This window comes from Homo sapiens, chromosome 22 (assembly GCF_000001405.40).
Source record: "Homo sapiens chromosome 22, GRCh38.p14 Primary Assembly".
NCBI lineage: Eukaryota > Metazoa > Chordata > Mammalia > Primates > Hominidae > Homo > Homo sapiens.
The window spans coordinates 15639178-15657797 of NC_000022.11; the positions used below are offsets into that span (position 1 = coordinate 15639178).

Consider the following 18620-nt stretch of genomic DNA (forward strand, 5'->3'; position numbering starts at 1 on the left):
GAGCACAGAGCCAAGAGCACACACAGCTGGCATCCTGCTTCTGGAAGGTGATGGGATGCCAGCGAGACTGCAGGGTGGACACTTCCTTCAGCTAGAAGTCTTACGAGCATACCAGCTGGGTCTGCACCAGCTGAAAACACCGGCTGTTCCATGGCTGCTCACTTTCCAAATACCAAGAAATGGAAAGAAAAGGGAAGTTTGGCCCGGCACAGTGGCTCATGCTTGTAATCCCAGCACTTTGGGAGGCCGAGGCAGGTGGATCAGTTGAGGTAAGAGTTAAAGACTAGCCTGGCCTGTCTCTACTAAAAATACAAAAGAAAAATTAGCTGGGCATAGTGGCACGTGCCTGTAGTCCCAGCTACTTGGGAGGCTAAGGCAGGAGAATCGTTTGAGCCTGGGAGGTGGAGGTTGCAGTGAGCTGAGATCACGCCACTGCACTGCAGCCTGGGCGACAGAACAAGACTCTGTGTCAAACAAAAAAAAAAAAAAAAAAGAAAAGAAAAGGGAAGTTCTAGGCTGGGCTTGATAGCTCATGTCTATAATCCCAGCACTTTGGGAGGCCGAGGTGGGCAGATCTCTTGAGGCCAGGAGTTCGAGACGAGCCTGGCCAACATGGTGAAACCCTGTCTCTACTAAAAATACAAAAATTAGCCAGACATGGTGGCAGGTGCCTGTAATCCCAGCTCCCTGGGAGGCTGAGGCAGAATAATCCCTTGAACCCAGGAGGCAGGGGTTGCGATGAGCCGAGATCTCGCCACTGCACTCCAGCCTGGACAACAGAATGAGACTCTACATGAGAAAAAAAAAAAAGAAAGAAAAAAGAAAAAAGAAAAAAAGAAAGGAAAAGAGAATCTCATTTTCCTGCTGGGCTTGACCTGAGGTGTTTAGATGAAGTGAGGTCCTGGACAGGGGAGGGACGGTCCAAAGAGGCAAGAGCAGCAGCTTCCACTGGCTGGGCAGTCACTACATCCCACCACCAGGCTGGCTCTCAACACACACTACGTCTTTCCTCTGCATGAAAGACCAGGAAAAGGGAGCCCCCAGCAGGCCTGAGGACATGTGGAGACACACAGGGAAGTGTGGCAGTTGGGTTCCAACCTTGTCACACAAGGTGGTCAGCCTCCCCCAGCTGTAAGTGAACATAACTTCTGTGGTGTGTTTCACACAAGACTCCATCTAAGAAAGAAGATGACTGCTGGGCACGGTGGCTCACACCTGTAATCCCAGCACTTTGTTAGGCTGAGGAGGGCAGATCACCTGAGGTCAGGAGTTCGAGACCAGCCTGGCAAACATGGTGAAACCCAGTCTCTACTATACTTTTACTGATAAAGCAGACAATGAACATAATGTATAGAAATCTTGAGCACAAATAGACATCAAAAGCACAAACAACAAAAGCAAAGATGTAATTACATTAAACTTGTCAAAAGTATAAGCAACAAAGGCAAAGATGTAATTACATTAAACTTAAAACCTTCTGCAAAGCAGAGGAAGCAATCAGTAGAATGAAGAAACAACCCAGAGAATGGAACAAAATATTTGCAAACTATGCATCAGCCAAGGGGTTAATACACAAAATATATAAAGAACTCAAACTACTCAAAAGCAAAAATACAAATAATCTGATTTAAAAAAATCTACCCAAAACCTTTGTCTCTCACCATTATTTCTCCACCTTCTTTTCCCGACCGCCTTTGGTCTCCTCCCCCTCGCCACCCATTTTCTTCCTCCATCTACCCCAAAACTTTTTCCCCACCATTTTTCCCCCACCGTCATTTCGCAAAGCCTTCTCTACTCTCCCGCTCACCACCCTTTTCCCCATCTATCTGCCCAAACACTTTCCCCACTGTTTTCTCCCACCGTCTTTTCCCCTTCTCCCTGGCCACCTTCTTTTTCCCCGTCCCACTCTCATCACCATCTTTTGCTCCTTCATCTAAGCAAAAGTATTTTCCCCCCTCTTTTCCCAAAACCTTCTCCTCACTCCTGCCGCTCACCAACCTCTTTTCCCCCTTCATCTACCCAAAAACTGTTTTCCTCATCGTCTTTCCCCTGCTCCTCCTTGCCACCCTCTCCCTTCTCCATCTACCCAAAAACATTTCCCCACAGCCTTTTCGGAAAGCCTTCTCCCCACTCCTGCTCACCTCCTTCTTTTCCCCCTCCATCTATCCCTCAAAGTTCTCCCCACCGTCTTTTCAGTATTTCCCCCTTCCCACTCATCCTCTTTGCCCTATCCTGCTTTCCACTCTGTTTTGCCCTCCATCTACCCCAAACTATTTTTCCATTTTTTCCCCAACCCTCTTTCCCTGCTCCCTCTCGCCACCCTCTTTTCTCCTCCTCCTGGTCACCCTCTTTCCCCCGTGCATCTACCCAAACACATTTTACCCATCATCTTTTCTTCCCCGCCCCGTCTTTCTTTTCTGCCTGCTGTGTTTTTGCAAAACCCTGTCTTCCTCCCGCTGGCCACCCTTTTCCCTTCCCCCACTTGTTACCCTCTTTTCCCCCTCTATCTACCCAAAAACTTTTCTCCCCACTGTCTTTTCACAAAACCTTCTCTCCCTACTGCTTGCCCCCATTTCCCTCCCACCCTCTTTCCTCCTCCCCCTTGCCACCCTCTTCTCCTCCATCTACCCATAAACTTTTTACCCACTGTCTTTCTGCAAAACCTTCCCTCCCTCCCGCTCCCCACCCTGTTTCTCCCCCTCCATTTACCCAAAAACTTTTTTCCCACCATCTTTTCCCCACTGTCTTTTTGCAACACCTTCTCCTGCTCGCTATTCTCTTTTCCCTTTGTCACTAACCACCCTCTTTACCTCCCTCCATCTATCCCAAAACTATTTTCCTCCTCCTACCTCTTGCACCACACTGCTTTCTCCGTTGCCGTCACCACAAACCGCAGCGAGGCGAGCCGTCCTACCGCGGCTCCAGCCTCCAGCGTACGGCCTGTGATTACCCATTCCCGGTCCTCTAAGCTGGGCCCTGAGCAGCTCTACAGGAAGATACCGGAACCTTAAAGGGGCAGCCTTCCCTTCAGGATCATTCATATACTGAGGTTATATATAGATGAAGGTTCCTAGACTGCATGTTCTGATTGGATGAGAAAAACCCTCCAGGGTTACTGGGATTGGACTTTATTATCATGTTCTGATTGGATGAGAGCAAGTCTTAAGACAACAAATCACAGCATGAAAATAAAGCCCAATCAGAGTAGGCCTAGAGGTTTTTCTCTCATCCAATCAGAACATGTAGTCCAAGAACGCATGTGCGTAACCTCAGTATATAAAGCACGGTGAGAGCAACCTCAGGTCATTTCAGGTTCTTCAGTGCTGGTGTGCTGCTCTTCGCTTAGAGAACTAGGAGAGGGGACCGCCATCTGCTGCCAGCTGGAGCCAGGGCACTGGCTGTCTCCGGTTGGTGGTGGGGATGGAGCGGTCGAAGGGTGGCCTGCAGTGGGAGCTTTTCCTGCCGGGCAGGAGGAAGAGTAGAAGGGAGAGGCACGGACGCATGCTGGAGGCTGGAGCTTGCGCCACCGCAGCTCGCCTCGCTGCGGTTGGTGGTGATGTCGGACACTGCAGGTCTTCCAGAGTGGTAGACGTGCCGTTGGGTAGGTGAGTTTTCTGGGGCTGCACTGCCCACCTCTGGGGGCAGGGGTTGGGTGTCCTTTTGGGGCTCACTGCCCAAGGCTGCACTCCCTGTGGCAGGCAGCTGGTTCGGGGCACTCTCTGGGGTATTGCTGGCGGTTGGGGGGGGGGTTGGCTGGCTATCACTGGCTACACTGCCTGCGGTGGCGGGGGTGGTGGAGGGAGGCAGATTGTGTGCACTAATGTGTACTGCTGGTTGTGGGTGATGGGTTAGGGGCACTATTTTCTGCTCCACTGCCTGCGGCAGGGGGTGGGTTGGGTGGTTATCTGGAGCTATAATGCTGGCAGTGGGCGGTGGTTTAGGGGTGTTATGGAGTGCTGCACTTCACTTACTTGGGGTGCACTATCAGGAGTTGCACTGCCCGTGGTGGGGTTGGGGGGGGCGGGTTTGGGGCACTGACTAGTGCAGCAACCCCCTTGGCTGGGTCGGGTTGTGGGCCCTGTAATGTGCTACACTGCCTGTTGGGGGTGGTGGCTTGGGGGGGTACTGGGGTTATATGCCTGCAACTGGCACGGGATGTGTTGGGTGTGCTATCCCGGGGCTACACTGCTGATGGCAAGGGGCAGGCAGGTTAGGGGTGCTGTCAGGGGCTACACTGCGTGGCATTGTTGGGCTGCAGAGGTGGCAGCAACAGCAACAGTGGTGGCCTCCTTTCTCCTTCCAGTGACCATTCTTCTTTTCCCAGATTCCAGACTCTAGAGGGTAATCTTCTCCTGCTCATGCAATTGTGAGCACAGCAGGGCCCACACACCCCCCGTGGTTCCCCAGCCTGTGCCTCATGCTGCCTGTTGGGGAGACCACCTGGGACTACCGGGCAGGGATTAGTGGGAATCATGGGGGACTGTGGGGCCAGGGCACTGTAGGTGGAGGCGTCAGGAACAGGAACCAGCACTTGGGTGGGGAGGGCTGCCTAGGTCTGAGTTTTTCCTAGTCCTGCTCCTGGAGGAGTGCAGCCCTGGTGGGCCCAGCAATTTCTGGCCAGCTGCACCTGAACGGGGGCACTTTCAGCGAAGGCACTCACACCCACCTCAGGCCCCAGTTCTTGGCCAGCTTTGCCAGAAGTAGAAGCTGGACTTTGGAGGGTGGGTGTGAGTGCCTTTCCTGAAACTGGTCCTTGCCACCCAGTGGCCAGCGTGACAAGGTGAGGCTCTAAGGCTACCACTCTCTGCATCCCATTCTAGGCTTTTCTGGTTTTGCCCTCCCAGCTGCTCCAAGCCAGGATGGAGGAGGAGGACAAGGAAGAGTCACCTGTGGTAAACTGGAGCCTGCATATGGCTCTGCAGCTGGTCTCACGAGATTGGTGGCAGCGACGGAGACTGCAGCTCGACTGGAGTGGTAGGAGGGTGCCCGCGGGGGCAAGGTGGTAGGAGCCTTGTAGGGTGGGCTGCTGCATTGAGGGCGACAGCGGTTGTATTGGCATCGGTGCTAGTGGTGGTATCAGCATTAAGTCTGGGGGCTGGGAAGGGGGAGTAGGAGCGCTGCAGGGCCCAGCCCGACCTGGGGATGGGGAGGAACCTGCGGGTACTGTACCAGGCCTTGGTGGCAGCAGTGGAGGTGCACCTAGGGAAAGGAGGAGTCCTTCCCCTTCTCCTGCAATCTGTGGAGGGTGCCCTCCTCCTGCTGGTGACTGAGCCAGGCGTGAGGGGCAGGATTGTCTTATTCTTAACAAAACTTAGGGGGTGACTATTTGTGTATCTTGTTTCTTTTTTGTTGTGATAGTCTCTGACTTTTTCAAATTTCATGAATTGGGGAGGGGATAAAAGGTATCATAATAGGCCTTCTACTTCCCACACCTGTTCTTTTTTCTTTCTTCTAGTCTGTATTGTCTTCTTCTCATCTTCTTGTTTCTCTTTATTTTCTTTTGCTGCTGCTTCTATTTCATGTTTCTATTGTGGTTTATCCTCCTTTTTAAATTTTCTTTATGCCAAGCAATGGCCTTAACAAACAACAAACCGAAACTGAGTTAAAAAGAAACTACTGGTCCCTGTGTTGTATTTTTAAAATAAATGGTCCCTTACTGTGTTTTAGAGATGAGAAAAAAAATCAGTTGTATTAGTCACTTGAATAGGTATGCTTTCATGATCGTGTTAACCCACTTATGCCTAGTGTTCCATTATTGGAATACTGAGCATGAGGAATTAACTTACATCCTACTGCCCAAGGTCATTGACAAGGTCTGATTTTTCACTCATGCAAAAATTCAAAAAATTGCAGCCTCTTGCATAAGTGGGCTAATGCGTTGTAAGTAGTTACTCAAGGAATCAAAAATGAAGCATCACATAAAATATCGGTAGCAAACAGCCATTTCATTTCTGTCACATATTTATCTGGAGCTATGCAAGAGTCACCGGGGTAATAAGTTCCAGTTTATGAGATTATTAAGTGAACTGTATTCTCTTCATTTTATTTGTCTGCCACCATTTTCTTTTTTTCATTCATTCTTTCTTTTTTTTTTTTGAGACAGAGTTTCACTCTTGTTGCCCAGGCTGGAGTGCGATGGGGCGATCTCGGCTCACCGCAACCTCTGCCTCCTGGGTTCAAGTGATTCTCCCGCCTCAGCCTCCCTAGTAGCTGGGATTACAGGCATGTGCCACCATGCCCAGCTAATTTTGTATTTTTGGTAGAGATGGGGTTTCTCCATGTTGGTCAGGCTGGTCTTGAACTCCTGACCTCTGGTGATCCACCTGCCTCAGCCTCCCAAAGTGCTGGGATTACAGGTGTGAGCCACCACGCTGGCTCTCTGCCACCATTTTCAAGAGTATTGTCACCTGCATGAGCAAACCTGGTTCATCACCACCTCTTTGTAAGAAAAAAGGAAGTGGGGAGAGTTGTGTGTAACTTTTTTCTTTTTTTTTTTTTGAGATGAAGTCTAGCTCTTGCCCCCAGGCTGGAGTACAATGGTGCGATCTTGGCTCACTGCAACCCGCACCTCCTGGGCTCAAGCAGTTCTCCTGCCTTGGACCCCCGAGTAGCTGGGATTACAGGTACCTGCCACCATGCCCGGCTAATTTTTGTATGTTTAGTAGAGACAGGGTTTCACCATGTTGGTCAGGCTGGTCTAGAACACCTGACCTCAGGTGATCCACCTGCCTTGGCCTCCCAAAGTGCTGGAATTACAGGCATGAGCCACCATGCCTGGCCGTGTATAATGTTTTAAGGCAAAGAGTCACAACCAAAAACAAGGCTTTATTAACTTTTGCCTCTAAGAACCTGCAGTGTTGAGCCCTCTTTTATTCCTAGTATTACTACCTTTGGTGTGAACCGTTTTTTTATTTTTATTTTTACTCATTCTTCTGGAAGTTTATACATTTTCTTGCCTGCTTTAAAGACAATCTATATTATTTTTCAAGCCCACAGTAATGTGTAAGGCCTGTAATTTGGACACTTTTCAGTTATGTTTAAGGTTATGAGCATGTAAGATACTGTTGATATATGGAAGAATATGTCTAATTACCACTAGATAGCTTATATTGAAGAGATAATATCTAAATGTTTGTCCAGAGTTGATTGGGTGCAGTTTCATAGGTGTGTTTCTCAATAAATTGCATCCATGTTTTAAAGCATATAGGAATTTGAATACTGTTTAACCTCATATAGGCCTTGTTTGTAGGTTTAATATTTCTGAAGACAAAAGTCATCACAGCCCCCTTTAAGGTTCAGTAATATTAATAAAATTTGAGATACACAGGGTTAGAATCCAACAAATTCAGAAGAAAATTGTAAAATTATATAGCTGTAGAGCAGGAATGAAACTCAGGTTCTAAGTTCCTAGGGGACCATGAGCTACCATACAGGGGCATCAGTGACTGGGCATAGAGTTGGCAAAATTGCAGGATGGTAAGAGAGTGAGCTGTGGAGCCTAACTCTATGTGAACATGAATTTTTAAACTGCATGGTGCCTCAGTTTATCCATCTTTATGGTGGCGACAGTAGTAAGTTTTTCTTTTTCTGCTCAGTTGTCCGAATTATTTCCCTTGTCTGTCTTGTTGCCACTCTTGATGCTCACGTGAGAGGATCTAAGGTAATTTCTGACAGCCTGGGACTCCTTAAGGAAAAATAGAAGGTTCGACAAACCCCATTTTAGGAGAAACTCTGTTTTCCTCATGGAACCCCAAGAACTTTAAGCAGACAGGTCCTTCTCAAAACCTAAGGCTCTCCTCTGTTTTGCCTTGCGTTATCTGACCTTTTTGGTTTAGGTGGACATCAGAAATTAGTAGGGGAGAGAGATCTAAAGAAAGTTGTAGATGTGAAGATGTATTGATGGTAAGAAAAGTTATGAAGGAAAGAAATGTTGTATGAGAGAGGATCTTATATGGCAAATTGTTGTCCTAAAGTAGAATGACTAATTACGAAAGAGGAAAATACAGGACAGGTCAGAAAGTTTAATCATGTCATAGATGCTCTGTGGAAGTTGTGTTATGGTTCATGAAATGGGAAAGAAAATCTTAACAGCTGCTAGATCTTTTTCTGTCTAGAAGTGTTGTGTATGTGATGTATATATAAAGGAGCTCTAGTGGCTCGGCTTAAAAGAAAATGAAAGCTCTTAAATATTTTGTCAGAAAAACAGAAGCTCTAATGCCTTTTATTTCATGTGAGTTCAGTAATCTTGGGGAAGTAAAGACAGTGTTAAAATCATTGGTAAAATAAAAATATCTTCAAAATTTATCCATTTGGTCTAATTTAAGTCAAAGTTCAGAAGTGCTTTAATGTCATGAATTGATTGTTTGACTTTGGAAAATAGTTCTGTTTATCTGGTTTGGAGCCGTTAGATTTCTAGGTAAGGCCTCCAGACAGGTGGAGTTAGCCATGTCTCCTAGCTATGCTGGAAAGAGTCAGACTTTATCTACGGTTCCGTCTTGAATCCTAAACTCTGCACCTGGTATGTAATTAAAACTTCCTGCTGCTGCTAATCTCTGGGTTCCATTTAAAATCCTTCCGTCACATGAATACTATCCCCTGTACTAAATTTTTCCACAATTAAGTACTTAGAATAGTTTTTGCTGACTTGACCCAACCATTAGTGATATATTTTAAAACTACTTCTAATGTGTCACAATTTATTCAGCAAATGCAGGGAATGACATTTTTCCTTTTGTCAGCATTTACATAGCATTTATGTAGCAATGCTATTTCAAGTATTTTTAGTCATTTAAATATTGAATAATAGATAATGCTTTTGATTCTTTCATTTCTATGTAAATAAATGTAATTGAGATATTTAGTAAATAGTATCAATTACATGTCTCACTTATAGAATATACTTATCAAATTGGGATTATTCTTTTTATACACTACATCATATTTCCTTGTTGGTTTTATAATAACTTAGAAATAATATTCTGGATTAACTGTGTGACTCATGAGAGAGGGAGTTTGTGCAATTATAGTCTTTACAAATTTTTATTAGATTTTCAAGACTTACACTGGAACTGTGAGAACAAGGTAATAAATAAGCATATCTATTAATATCATCTTTGGTCAACTCTTGGCTGGACCCAATGATAGTGTAGGAATTAACATAATTTTTCCTACTAAAGGTATTGGATTTGTTTTGAGAGACCACAGTTTAATATCATTGACATAGAAAGTTTAAAAATTGTTAGACTAAAATTTTTTAGTGCTGTTGAAGTTGTTTTACAGAAAAATATCTATCCTGGTTTACATTGATAGTTTTTTTTATAAGAACTAGATCAAGAGAAAGGGAGAGTAGTGATAAATGTCCAGGTTTTCGAGTTGAAAAGTAACAATCAGTGTATTACAACAGATAGATTTGATGTCAAATTGCAAATGCTGAAAACGTTATATGTAATTGACTAGCCAGAGTAATTATACAAGGCAAAGAAAGGAAAAGCATCTAAATAGGAAAGGAAGGGGTGAGATTGTCTCTGTTTTCTGAAAATGTAATCTTTTAACATAGGGAAAATCTTAGACTCCACCAAAAAAACCCATTAAAGCTGATAAACACTATATTCAACAAAGTTGAGAGTTACAAAATTAACATACAAATAGTATTCTTGTTTTTATACACCGATGATAAACTATTATCTGAAAAATAAATTAATAAAGTAATTCCATTTATAATAGCATCAAAACAAATATATAAATAAATAAAAGGCCAAGGAGTAATTTTAATGAAGGATGTGAATGATGTGTATACTGAAAATTATAGCACATTGATGAAAGAAATTGAAAGTGACATAAACATCCTATATTTATAAATTGAAAAAATTAATATTGTCAAAATTGCAATGCTACCGAAAGCAGTCTACAGATTAAATGCAACCACTATCAAACTCCAATGTCATTTTTCACAGAAATAGAAAAATTAGTCCTAAAATCTGAATGGAACCACAAAAGACCCTGAAAAACCAAAGCAATCTTGAGCAAAAAGAACAAACCTGGAGGCATCAGACTATACCTAATCTTTGACAAAGCAAACAAAACATAAAGTGGGAAAAGATGCCCTATTTGGTGCTGGCATAATTGGCAAGCCACGTGCAGAAAAATGAAACTGTTCTTCAAAAGGTTAAGTATAGAATTATCACGACTCAGTAAATTAACTCCTATGTATACAGCAAAAAGGAATTAAAACAAATGCCTTACACAAAAAGTAGCATACAACTGTTTATGGCAACAAAAAGTAGGAAACAACAGAAATGTCCATCAGTTGAGGAGTGGATTAATAAAATGTGATCTGTCCATAAAATAAAATATTATTTGGCAATGAAAAAGAAAACGGTATTAATAGATGCTCCAAAAAGGATGAACATTGAAAAAATAAGTGAAAGTAGTGAGTCACACATAACTATATATTATTATGATTCCACTTACATGAAATGTCCAGAATAGGCAAATCCTTCCAGAATTGGCAAATCCTTAGGAAGTAGATGGATGATTGCCTAGGGCTGGGAGGGTTTTAAAGGAAGAGTGGGGAAAATGGGAAAAGATTGCTAATGGGTGCAAGGTTTCTTATAAGGAGCATAAAAGTGTTCTAAAATTATATTGTGATTGTTTATGCACCCAGTTAATACACTAAAAAAACCTGAATTTTATACTTTAATTGAGTGAATTAAATAATACATAAATTATATCTCAATGAACCTGTGAAAAAAGTTTAAAAATATGTGGTATGCATAAACAAAAAGTTCTTGTATTTCCATAGGGTTTTGGGGAACAGGTGGTGTTTGATTATGTGAGTAAGTTCTTTAGAGGTGATTCATGAGATTTTGGTGGACCCAACACCTGTGCAGTGTACACTGTATACAATTTGTAGTCTTTAATTCCTCACCCCCTCCCACCTTTTCTCCCAAGTCCCAAAGTCCGTTGTATTCTAATACCTTTGCATCCTCACAGCTTAGCTACCTCTTATTAGCGAGAGCATACGATGTGTGCTTTTCCATTCTTAATGTTACTTCACTTAGAATGATAGTCTCTGATCGGCTGGGCGCGGTGGCTCACGCGTGTAATCACAGCACTTTGGGAGGCTGAGGCAGGTGGATCACGAGGTCAGGAGATCGAGACCATCCTGGCTAACATGGTGAAACCCCGTCTCTACTAAAAATACAAAAAATTAGCTGGGCGTGGTGGCGGGCATCTGTAGTCCCACCTACTTGGGAGGCTAAGGCAGGAGAATGGCATGAACCCGAGAGGCAGAGGTTGCAGTGAGCTGAGATCGTGCCACTGCACTCCAGCGTGGGTGACAGAGAGACTCTGTCTAAAAAAAAAAAAAAAAGAAAAACGAAAAGAAAGTCTCTGATCCCATCCAGGTTGCTGTGAATGCCATTATATTTTTTCCTTTTTATGGCTGAATAGTATTCCATGATGTATATCACAATTTCTTAATCTACTCATTGATGGGCATTTGGGCTGGTTACATATTTCTGCTATTGTGAATTGTGCTGTTATAAACTTGTGTGTGCAAGCATCTTTTTTATATAGTGACTTCTTTTCCCCTCTGGGTAGATACCCAGTAATGGAATTGCTGGATTAAATGGTAGTTCTACTTTTAGTTCTTTAAGAAATCTCCACACTGTTTACTATAGTGGTTGTACTAGTTTACATTACCACTAGCAGTATAAAAGTGTTCCCTTTTCACCAAATGCCCCCCAATATTTTTTATTTTTTGCTGTTTTGATTATGGTCATTCTTGCCAGAGTAAGCTGGCATAGCATTGTGAGTTTTTGGTTTTTTTTTTTGAGATGGAGTCCGCTCTGTCACCAGGCTGGAGTGCAGTGGTGTAACCTTGGCTCACTGCAACTTCCACCTTCTGGGTTCAAGGGATTCTCCTGCCTCAGCCTCCCGAGTAGCTGGGACTACAGGTGCCCACCACCACTTCCGGCTAATTTTTGTATTTTTAGGACAGATGGAGTTTCACCATGTTGGCCAGGGTGGTCTTGATCTCTTGACCTAGTGATCTACCCGCCTCAGCCTCCCAAAGTGCTGGGATTTCAGGTGTGAGCCACCGCTCCCAGCCTGACATTGTGGTTTTGATTTGCATTTCCCTGATCTTTAGTGATGATGAGCATTTTTTCATGTTTGTTGGCCATTTTTTATATCTCCTTTTGAGAATTGTCTATTCAAGTCCTTAGCCCATTATTTGAAGGGATTGGTTTTTTTCCTGTTAATTTGAGTACCTTGTAGATTCTGGTTATTAGTCCTTTCTCAGACGTATAGATTGTGAAGATTTTCTCCCATTCCATGGGTTGTCTGTTTACTCTGCTTATTGTTTCTTTTGCTGTGCCAAAACGTTTTGGCTTGATTAAGTCTCACCTTTTAATCTTCATTTTGTTGTCGTTGCACTTGCTTTTGGGTTCTTGGTCATGAAGTCTCTGCCTAAGCCAATGTGTAGAAGGGGTTTTCCAATGTTACCTTCTAGAATTTTTATGGTTGCAGGTCTCAGATTTAAGTTGACTTTTGTATAAGGTAAGAGATGGGAATTCAGTTTCATTTCTTGGGATGTAGCTTGCCAATTATCCAAGCACCATATGTTGAGTAGGGTGTTCTTTCCCCACTTTATATTGTTTGCTTTGTCAAAGACCAGTTGGCTGTAAGTATTTGAGTTTACTTCTGGGTTCTCTATTATGTTTCATTGGTCTATGTGCTTATTTTTATACCAGTATTATGCTGTTTTGCTGACTATGGGTTTGTAGTATAGATTGAAGTCAGGTAATGTAATGCCTCCAGATTTGTTCTTTCTGCTTAGTCTTGCTTTGGCTATGTGGGCTCGTTTTTTTTTTCCCATATGAATTTTAGAATTATCAGGAGCCACCAGGTGCTGCAGCAGCTTTGGGATAACTTGAGGGCGCATCCTGGGGAAGAAACACCTCCTGTCCATGGTGCTGACTGCTGAGGACAGTGCTTCGGCGTGGCTTCTCCGTGGCCCAGCTTCTTTGGGGCGTTTTTCTTTCATGGTGAGTACAGAAGCTTTCGTTTTGTGGAATGTTCTGTGCATTTCTGCTAGATTCTCACTCCTTTTTTCTCTCTTGATATCTTGCCATTAATTTTACAGTAGTACTCATTCCCTGAGGGCTTTTGAGTTTGGAATGTGTGGGAGGCTTTAGGGCTGTTTCTGAGGGAGACTCCCCATGTAGGTGGAGAGGAAAGCTCTGGCTGTGGGAGGAAGGGGAAGCCTGGCCCAGGTGGGGTTTTGGGGCCAGGCCCCAGTTTGGCTGCCTTGCTTTCAAGCCTCAGATGGAAGGAAAGGATCCAACTTAACCTCCAGGGTTTGCTGATTTTTTAATTGTTTTTATTTTTATTTTTATTTTTTGGAGATACAGTCTTGCTCTGTTGCCCGGGCTGGAGTGCAGTGGTGGATCTCAGCTCACTGCAACCTCCATTTTCTGGGCCCAAGGGATTCTCCAGCCTCAGCCTCAACAGTATTTTGGCCTATGCCACCATGCCCAGCTATTTTTTTTTTTTGTATTTTTGGTAGCAACAGGGTTTCGCCATGTTGCTTGGGCTTGTCTCAAACTTCTGAGCTCAAAGCAGTCCTCGCGCCTCAACTTCCCAAAGTGCTGGGATTACAGGCATTAACTACTGCACCCGGTCTGGTGAATTTTTAAATCTGTATCCCTGCTATCAGGACGTAGGGGTCACATTTCTCCACTCCCTGCAGTGCCTGCCTAACTCTGTCCCTCTAGTCATGGCCACCTGACTGGGGGAAGGGACCTTGAGTGTGGTTTACTGTCCTCTTTGCAGAAATGTCTATTCAGGGTCCCTGCTCATTTTTGGATGGATCATTGGTTTTTTTGTTGCTACTTAGTACTGTTAATGTGTTGTATATTTTCCATAACAACCCCTTAGCTGATTCGTGATTCCTCAAAACATTCTCCCAGCCTTTCTTTTTGGGTTCATTGTTTCCTTTTCCTTGCAAAAACTTTTCACTTTGATGTTGCCATGCATGTTTTCTTATGGCCAGGCATAATGGCTGGTGCCTGTAATCCAAGCACTTTGCAAGGCCAAGGTGGGCAGATCACTTGAGCCAAAGAATTTGAGACCAGCCTAGGCAACATGGCAAAAGTTCATCTCTACAAAAAATACAAAGAAATTAGCCAGGCGTGGTGGTGTGTGCCTGTAGTTCCAGCTATTCAGGAGGCAGAAGTGGGAGGATCACTTGTGCCAGAGAGGTCAAGGCTGCAGTGAGCCATGATCATGCCACTGCATTCCAGCCTGAGTGACAGAGTCCTTGTAGTTATCACTTCTATGTTTCCTTCAAATGTTCTAACAATTTTTTTGAGACAGAGTTTCATTCTCTCACCCAGGCTGGAGCACAGCGGCATATCAGGGATTGTGAGTCCTCCAACTTAGTTTCTATTTCTCAGGATTCCTTAGACATTCAGGGCCATTTGTGGTTCCATGTGATCATCAGCATTGTGTATTCACTTTTCTTAAATTTCTGTGCATAGTAAAGTATATAATTAGAGAGTCTGCTGGGACTGTTTTTCCTCTGGCACATTTTGATTCATGTATATTTTTAGTAATGATCAAATCAGGGTACTTGGCATATCTGTTCTCTCATACAGGTATTATTCTTTTGTGAAAACATTGGAATTGCTCCCTGTGGCTTTTTTGAAAAATATAGTATTAACCAGAATCACGGAGCTGTGGTATAGAGCACAAGAATGTATCTGTCCCAACTAACTGCAACTTTGTTTCCACAACCAATCCTCCCATTCCCTCCTTCCCCTCTCCTCAGAAAACCACTACTTATCCAAGGCAAAGTTTTCTGGATTCCATATAAGTGAGATGAATCTGTGGTTATTTTTCTATGCTTGGCTTATTTTATTTAACATATTTTCCAGGTTCATCCATATGGCTCCAAATGAAAATTACATTAATTATGGATGAAGAGTATTGTGTTGTGCAGATATACTGCAGTTTCTTCATCCCTTCATCTATGGATGGACAGGTAGGTTGATTCCATATCTTCTATATTGCGAATACTGTCATGAAACATGGGAAGGCAGGTAACTCCTTAAGGTACCGGTTTCCTTTGCTTTAAATGCATACGCAGTGTGAGGAACATCCCAACTTTTTCACAGTGTATTCACTAATTCACATTGGCATCAATAGCGTATAAGAGTTTCCCTTTCTGTAAGTCTACACTGGCTGCTACCTTCCAAAAATGTTATTCCTGTTTTTGGTAATATTCTCAGTGGAGTTTGATGGTATCTGATATTGGAGTGTGATTCTGACTTACATGTTTGGAGTGATTAGTGATGTGGAGAATCTTTTTTTTTCACCTGTGAATCAGTTTCATGTCCTTTGCAGAAGTGATTGTGCAGGTCCTTTGCATATTTTTAGCTTGTGTATTTTTTTAATCTTTTCCCCACTTAGTAGCTTTAGTGCTTGCATATGTTAGATAACAACCCCTTCCAAAATCACGATTCTCCACAATTTTAACCCAATCATCCTTTCCGCCAAGGTAAGATGCTTTCTCTTTGGGTTCATTGTTTTCTCCCCCATGCAGAAGCTCTAAAGTGTTGGTCTCACAGTTTTTTATTTGCTTTTGTCAGCAGGGATTTCTGTGTCCAATCAGAGAGAGAAAAAAGAGATCACAAAGTCATTGTATTGTCTACAGGTATTTTCCCTGTAAGTGAGAGCATGTGGTATTTTGTTTTCTGTTAGATTGTGTTAGTTTGCTTAGCATAGTGACCTGCAGGTCCATCCTTGTTGCTGTCAAGAGCATGAATTTTTTTTAAGCTGTGTAGGATGTTGTGGTATCTATGTATAGCACTTTTAAAGCATGTAATCAACTGTTAAGGGGGGACATAGGTCGATGTTATTTTATATTTCCATGTGAATAGCACTTCCAAGAACATACCCATGCCTGTGTCATTTTGAAAGGAAGATTTATGATTTATTTTCCTTTGTGTAGATACCCAGTTATGTGATTGCTCATTTGGATGGTAGTTGTTAAGTTCTTTGAGGAACCTCCAAACCACTTCTCATAGTGTGAGAGCTAGTTTTTATTCCCACCAAGAGTGTAGCAGTGTTTGCTTTCCTCCATTGCCTTGCCACCATGTTAATGCTTGGCCTTAGGACAAATGGCCATTCTGACCGATGTGAGATGGTATCTCAGTGTTCATGAGAGTTGCATTTCTCTGATGATGAGGGATGTTGAGGTGTTTGTTCATGTTCTCTACCCATTGTTTGAATGGTTTGTTTTTCTGCCTCTTGATTTTTTTAAGGTCATATTAGAGTCTGGCTATCAGACCTTGGTGAGAAGCATAGTTTGGGAACATTTTCTCCCATCCTGTAGCCTGTGTGTTTACTGTGCCAGTGATTTATTTTGCTATCTGGCAGTGTTATAGTTTCTTAGGCCCAGCTTGTCCTTTTGGTTTTTCTTACTGTTGCTTTTTGTTTAAATGCTTTTCCAAAGCCCGTACTGAGAAAGATATGTCCTAGGTTTCCTTGTAGGACTTTTATAGTTTGAGGTATTCTGCTGAAATCTTTCATTCACCTTGGGTTAGTTTTTGTATCTGACGAGAGTTAAGGCTCCAGTGTTGTCCATCTGCATGTGTCTAGCCACCTAGCCCAGTGCCCTTCACTGCATAGTGAGCCTTTTGTCCATCTGACGTTTGGTGTTTCAGCATGGCTTTGGAGTTTCAGGGCATTTTGTGGTCCCATGGGAATTTTAGCATTGTTTGTTTATGTTGTTTTTAGGAAACAAAATTGGCCCTGTCCTAAATATGTACAACTAGAGGGTCGAGTGGGACATTTGGGTCCATGCATGCATCGTATAGGGATGAAATCAGGGTATTTAGCATCCTTTTATGCCTGGTAGAGTTTTCATGTCTTTGAGTGAGGAGAGCGAGAACCCTCCTTTCTGGCTGTCTTGAAGACCACCCTTTGGTAAAATTTTCCCTAGTCATCCTGCTGAGGAATAGAACAGCAGGTTTCATTCCTCTCATGCAACGTGTCACTTTGTACCTGTTTCCTATGCCCACCCTTGCCCAGCCTTCTTTTCCAACCCTGGCAAGCACGATGGTGCTTTGTAGGTCTGTGTGAGATAAAGTTTCCTAGATTCCTCATGAGTGAAGTGATGCGAGGTTTGTCTTTCTCTGCCTAGTGTGTTTTGTTTACCATAATGTTCTCCAGGTTCCACAGTGTTGCCACGGATGACCTGATTTCAGTACCCATGTCTGGCTGAAGAGTATCTGGTTGTGACTGGATACTGCAGTTTCTGGATCTCATCCTCTGTGGGTGGACAGGTAGGTTGATTGCTTATCTTGGCTATTGCGACTGTTTCCACAGTCAGCGTGGGAAGGCAGATACGTCTTCTGTGTACTGATTTCATATGATTCCAGTAGCAGCACAGCTCAGTGGTTGTAAGTTTAGTTTTCTGAGGAACCTCCAGGTGGCTTCTGTAGTGTGCATACTAATTACCTGTTAACAGTTGTGGATAAGAAAGCTAACCTCTCTGGAAATTCACAGCAGCTTCTTTTAAGATACACAAAGGTCTTTGTAATAATCGTTCCACCAAGAGAGGCACAGTATCTGAGTCTTGTTCTGATTTTCATTTTTGCCATGATTAGTGGTGTTAACCGGGTGTTAACAAGCATACTTATTTTCAGTTTTATGTGTCTTTTGCAGAAAAGCCTCTTTGGTTTTTTTATCCAGTTTTGGTTTGGTAATTAATTTCTGTTTTCTGGTGTTTTTTGCTAGTTAGTAATGTTAGTTACTTACACCTTTTCCAAAAAATGCCTCATCAGCTGTGTTTTTCTCCAAATGCTTCTTATCATCCTTTGTATGTTTCTTTCTTTTCATTCATGTTTTTCATTCTTTCTTGCCCACAAGCCATGTAGTCTGATGCAGTTTCAGGTGTGTGCAGTGTTCTGGTTTTCCCTTACTTTGGTGACTGATGAAGTTAAAGAAATTCACCAGCTTATCAATCTGTTGCCAGTGAGTTTTGGTTGTTGCTTGTTTGTATTCTTTTTTGTCTTCTTTATTTTTTCTGTTTTCCTTTTTGCAAACCATGAGCATAGTTCCAAGTTGACCCTGGTATCTGCACACTATATGCTTTCTTCTTAGAGAGTGACTTTATCAGTTTTGGATAGGTCTTTCTTTCAGTTGAATGAATTGTGAATTTCGCACAATAAGGACCCTATGTTATTTTGCTTAGGGATATCCAGTTCCCTGAACACTGTATTGGACAGACTCTCCCTTCCCAGGGTGACTTTTGTGGTTGTTTTCAAACATGTGCTTACTCGTATGTTGTTAAAGGAAAGTATCTTGGTCCCCCAAAATCACTAAGGAAAACTCAGGCTGGAAACTGCTTAGGGCCAACCTGTCTCCCATTCTGTTAAAAGCCACCCCTCTGCTCACTGAGATAGATGCATATCTGATTGCCTCCTTTGGAGAAGCTAACCAAAACCTCTAAATAATGTAATTATTTGTGTATCTCTTATCCATGACCTTGAAGCTCCCTCCCTGCTTCCAGTCTTCCTGCCTTTGCTTAAAGTTGTTCCACCTTTCCAGAA

General features: G+C 43.1%; 1 pseudogene; it reads right to left on the reverse strand.

The window, feature by feature from the left end:
- Positions 1–18620, reverse strand: part of LOC124905152 (mediator complex subunit 15 pseudogene 7) — a 42872-nt pseudogene that overhangs the window by 7225 nt on the left and 17027 nt on the right.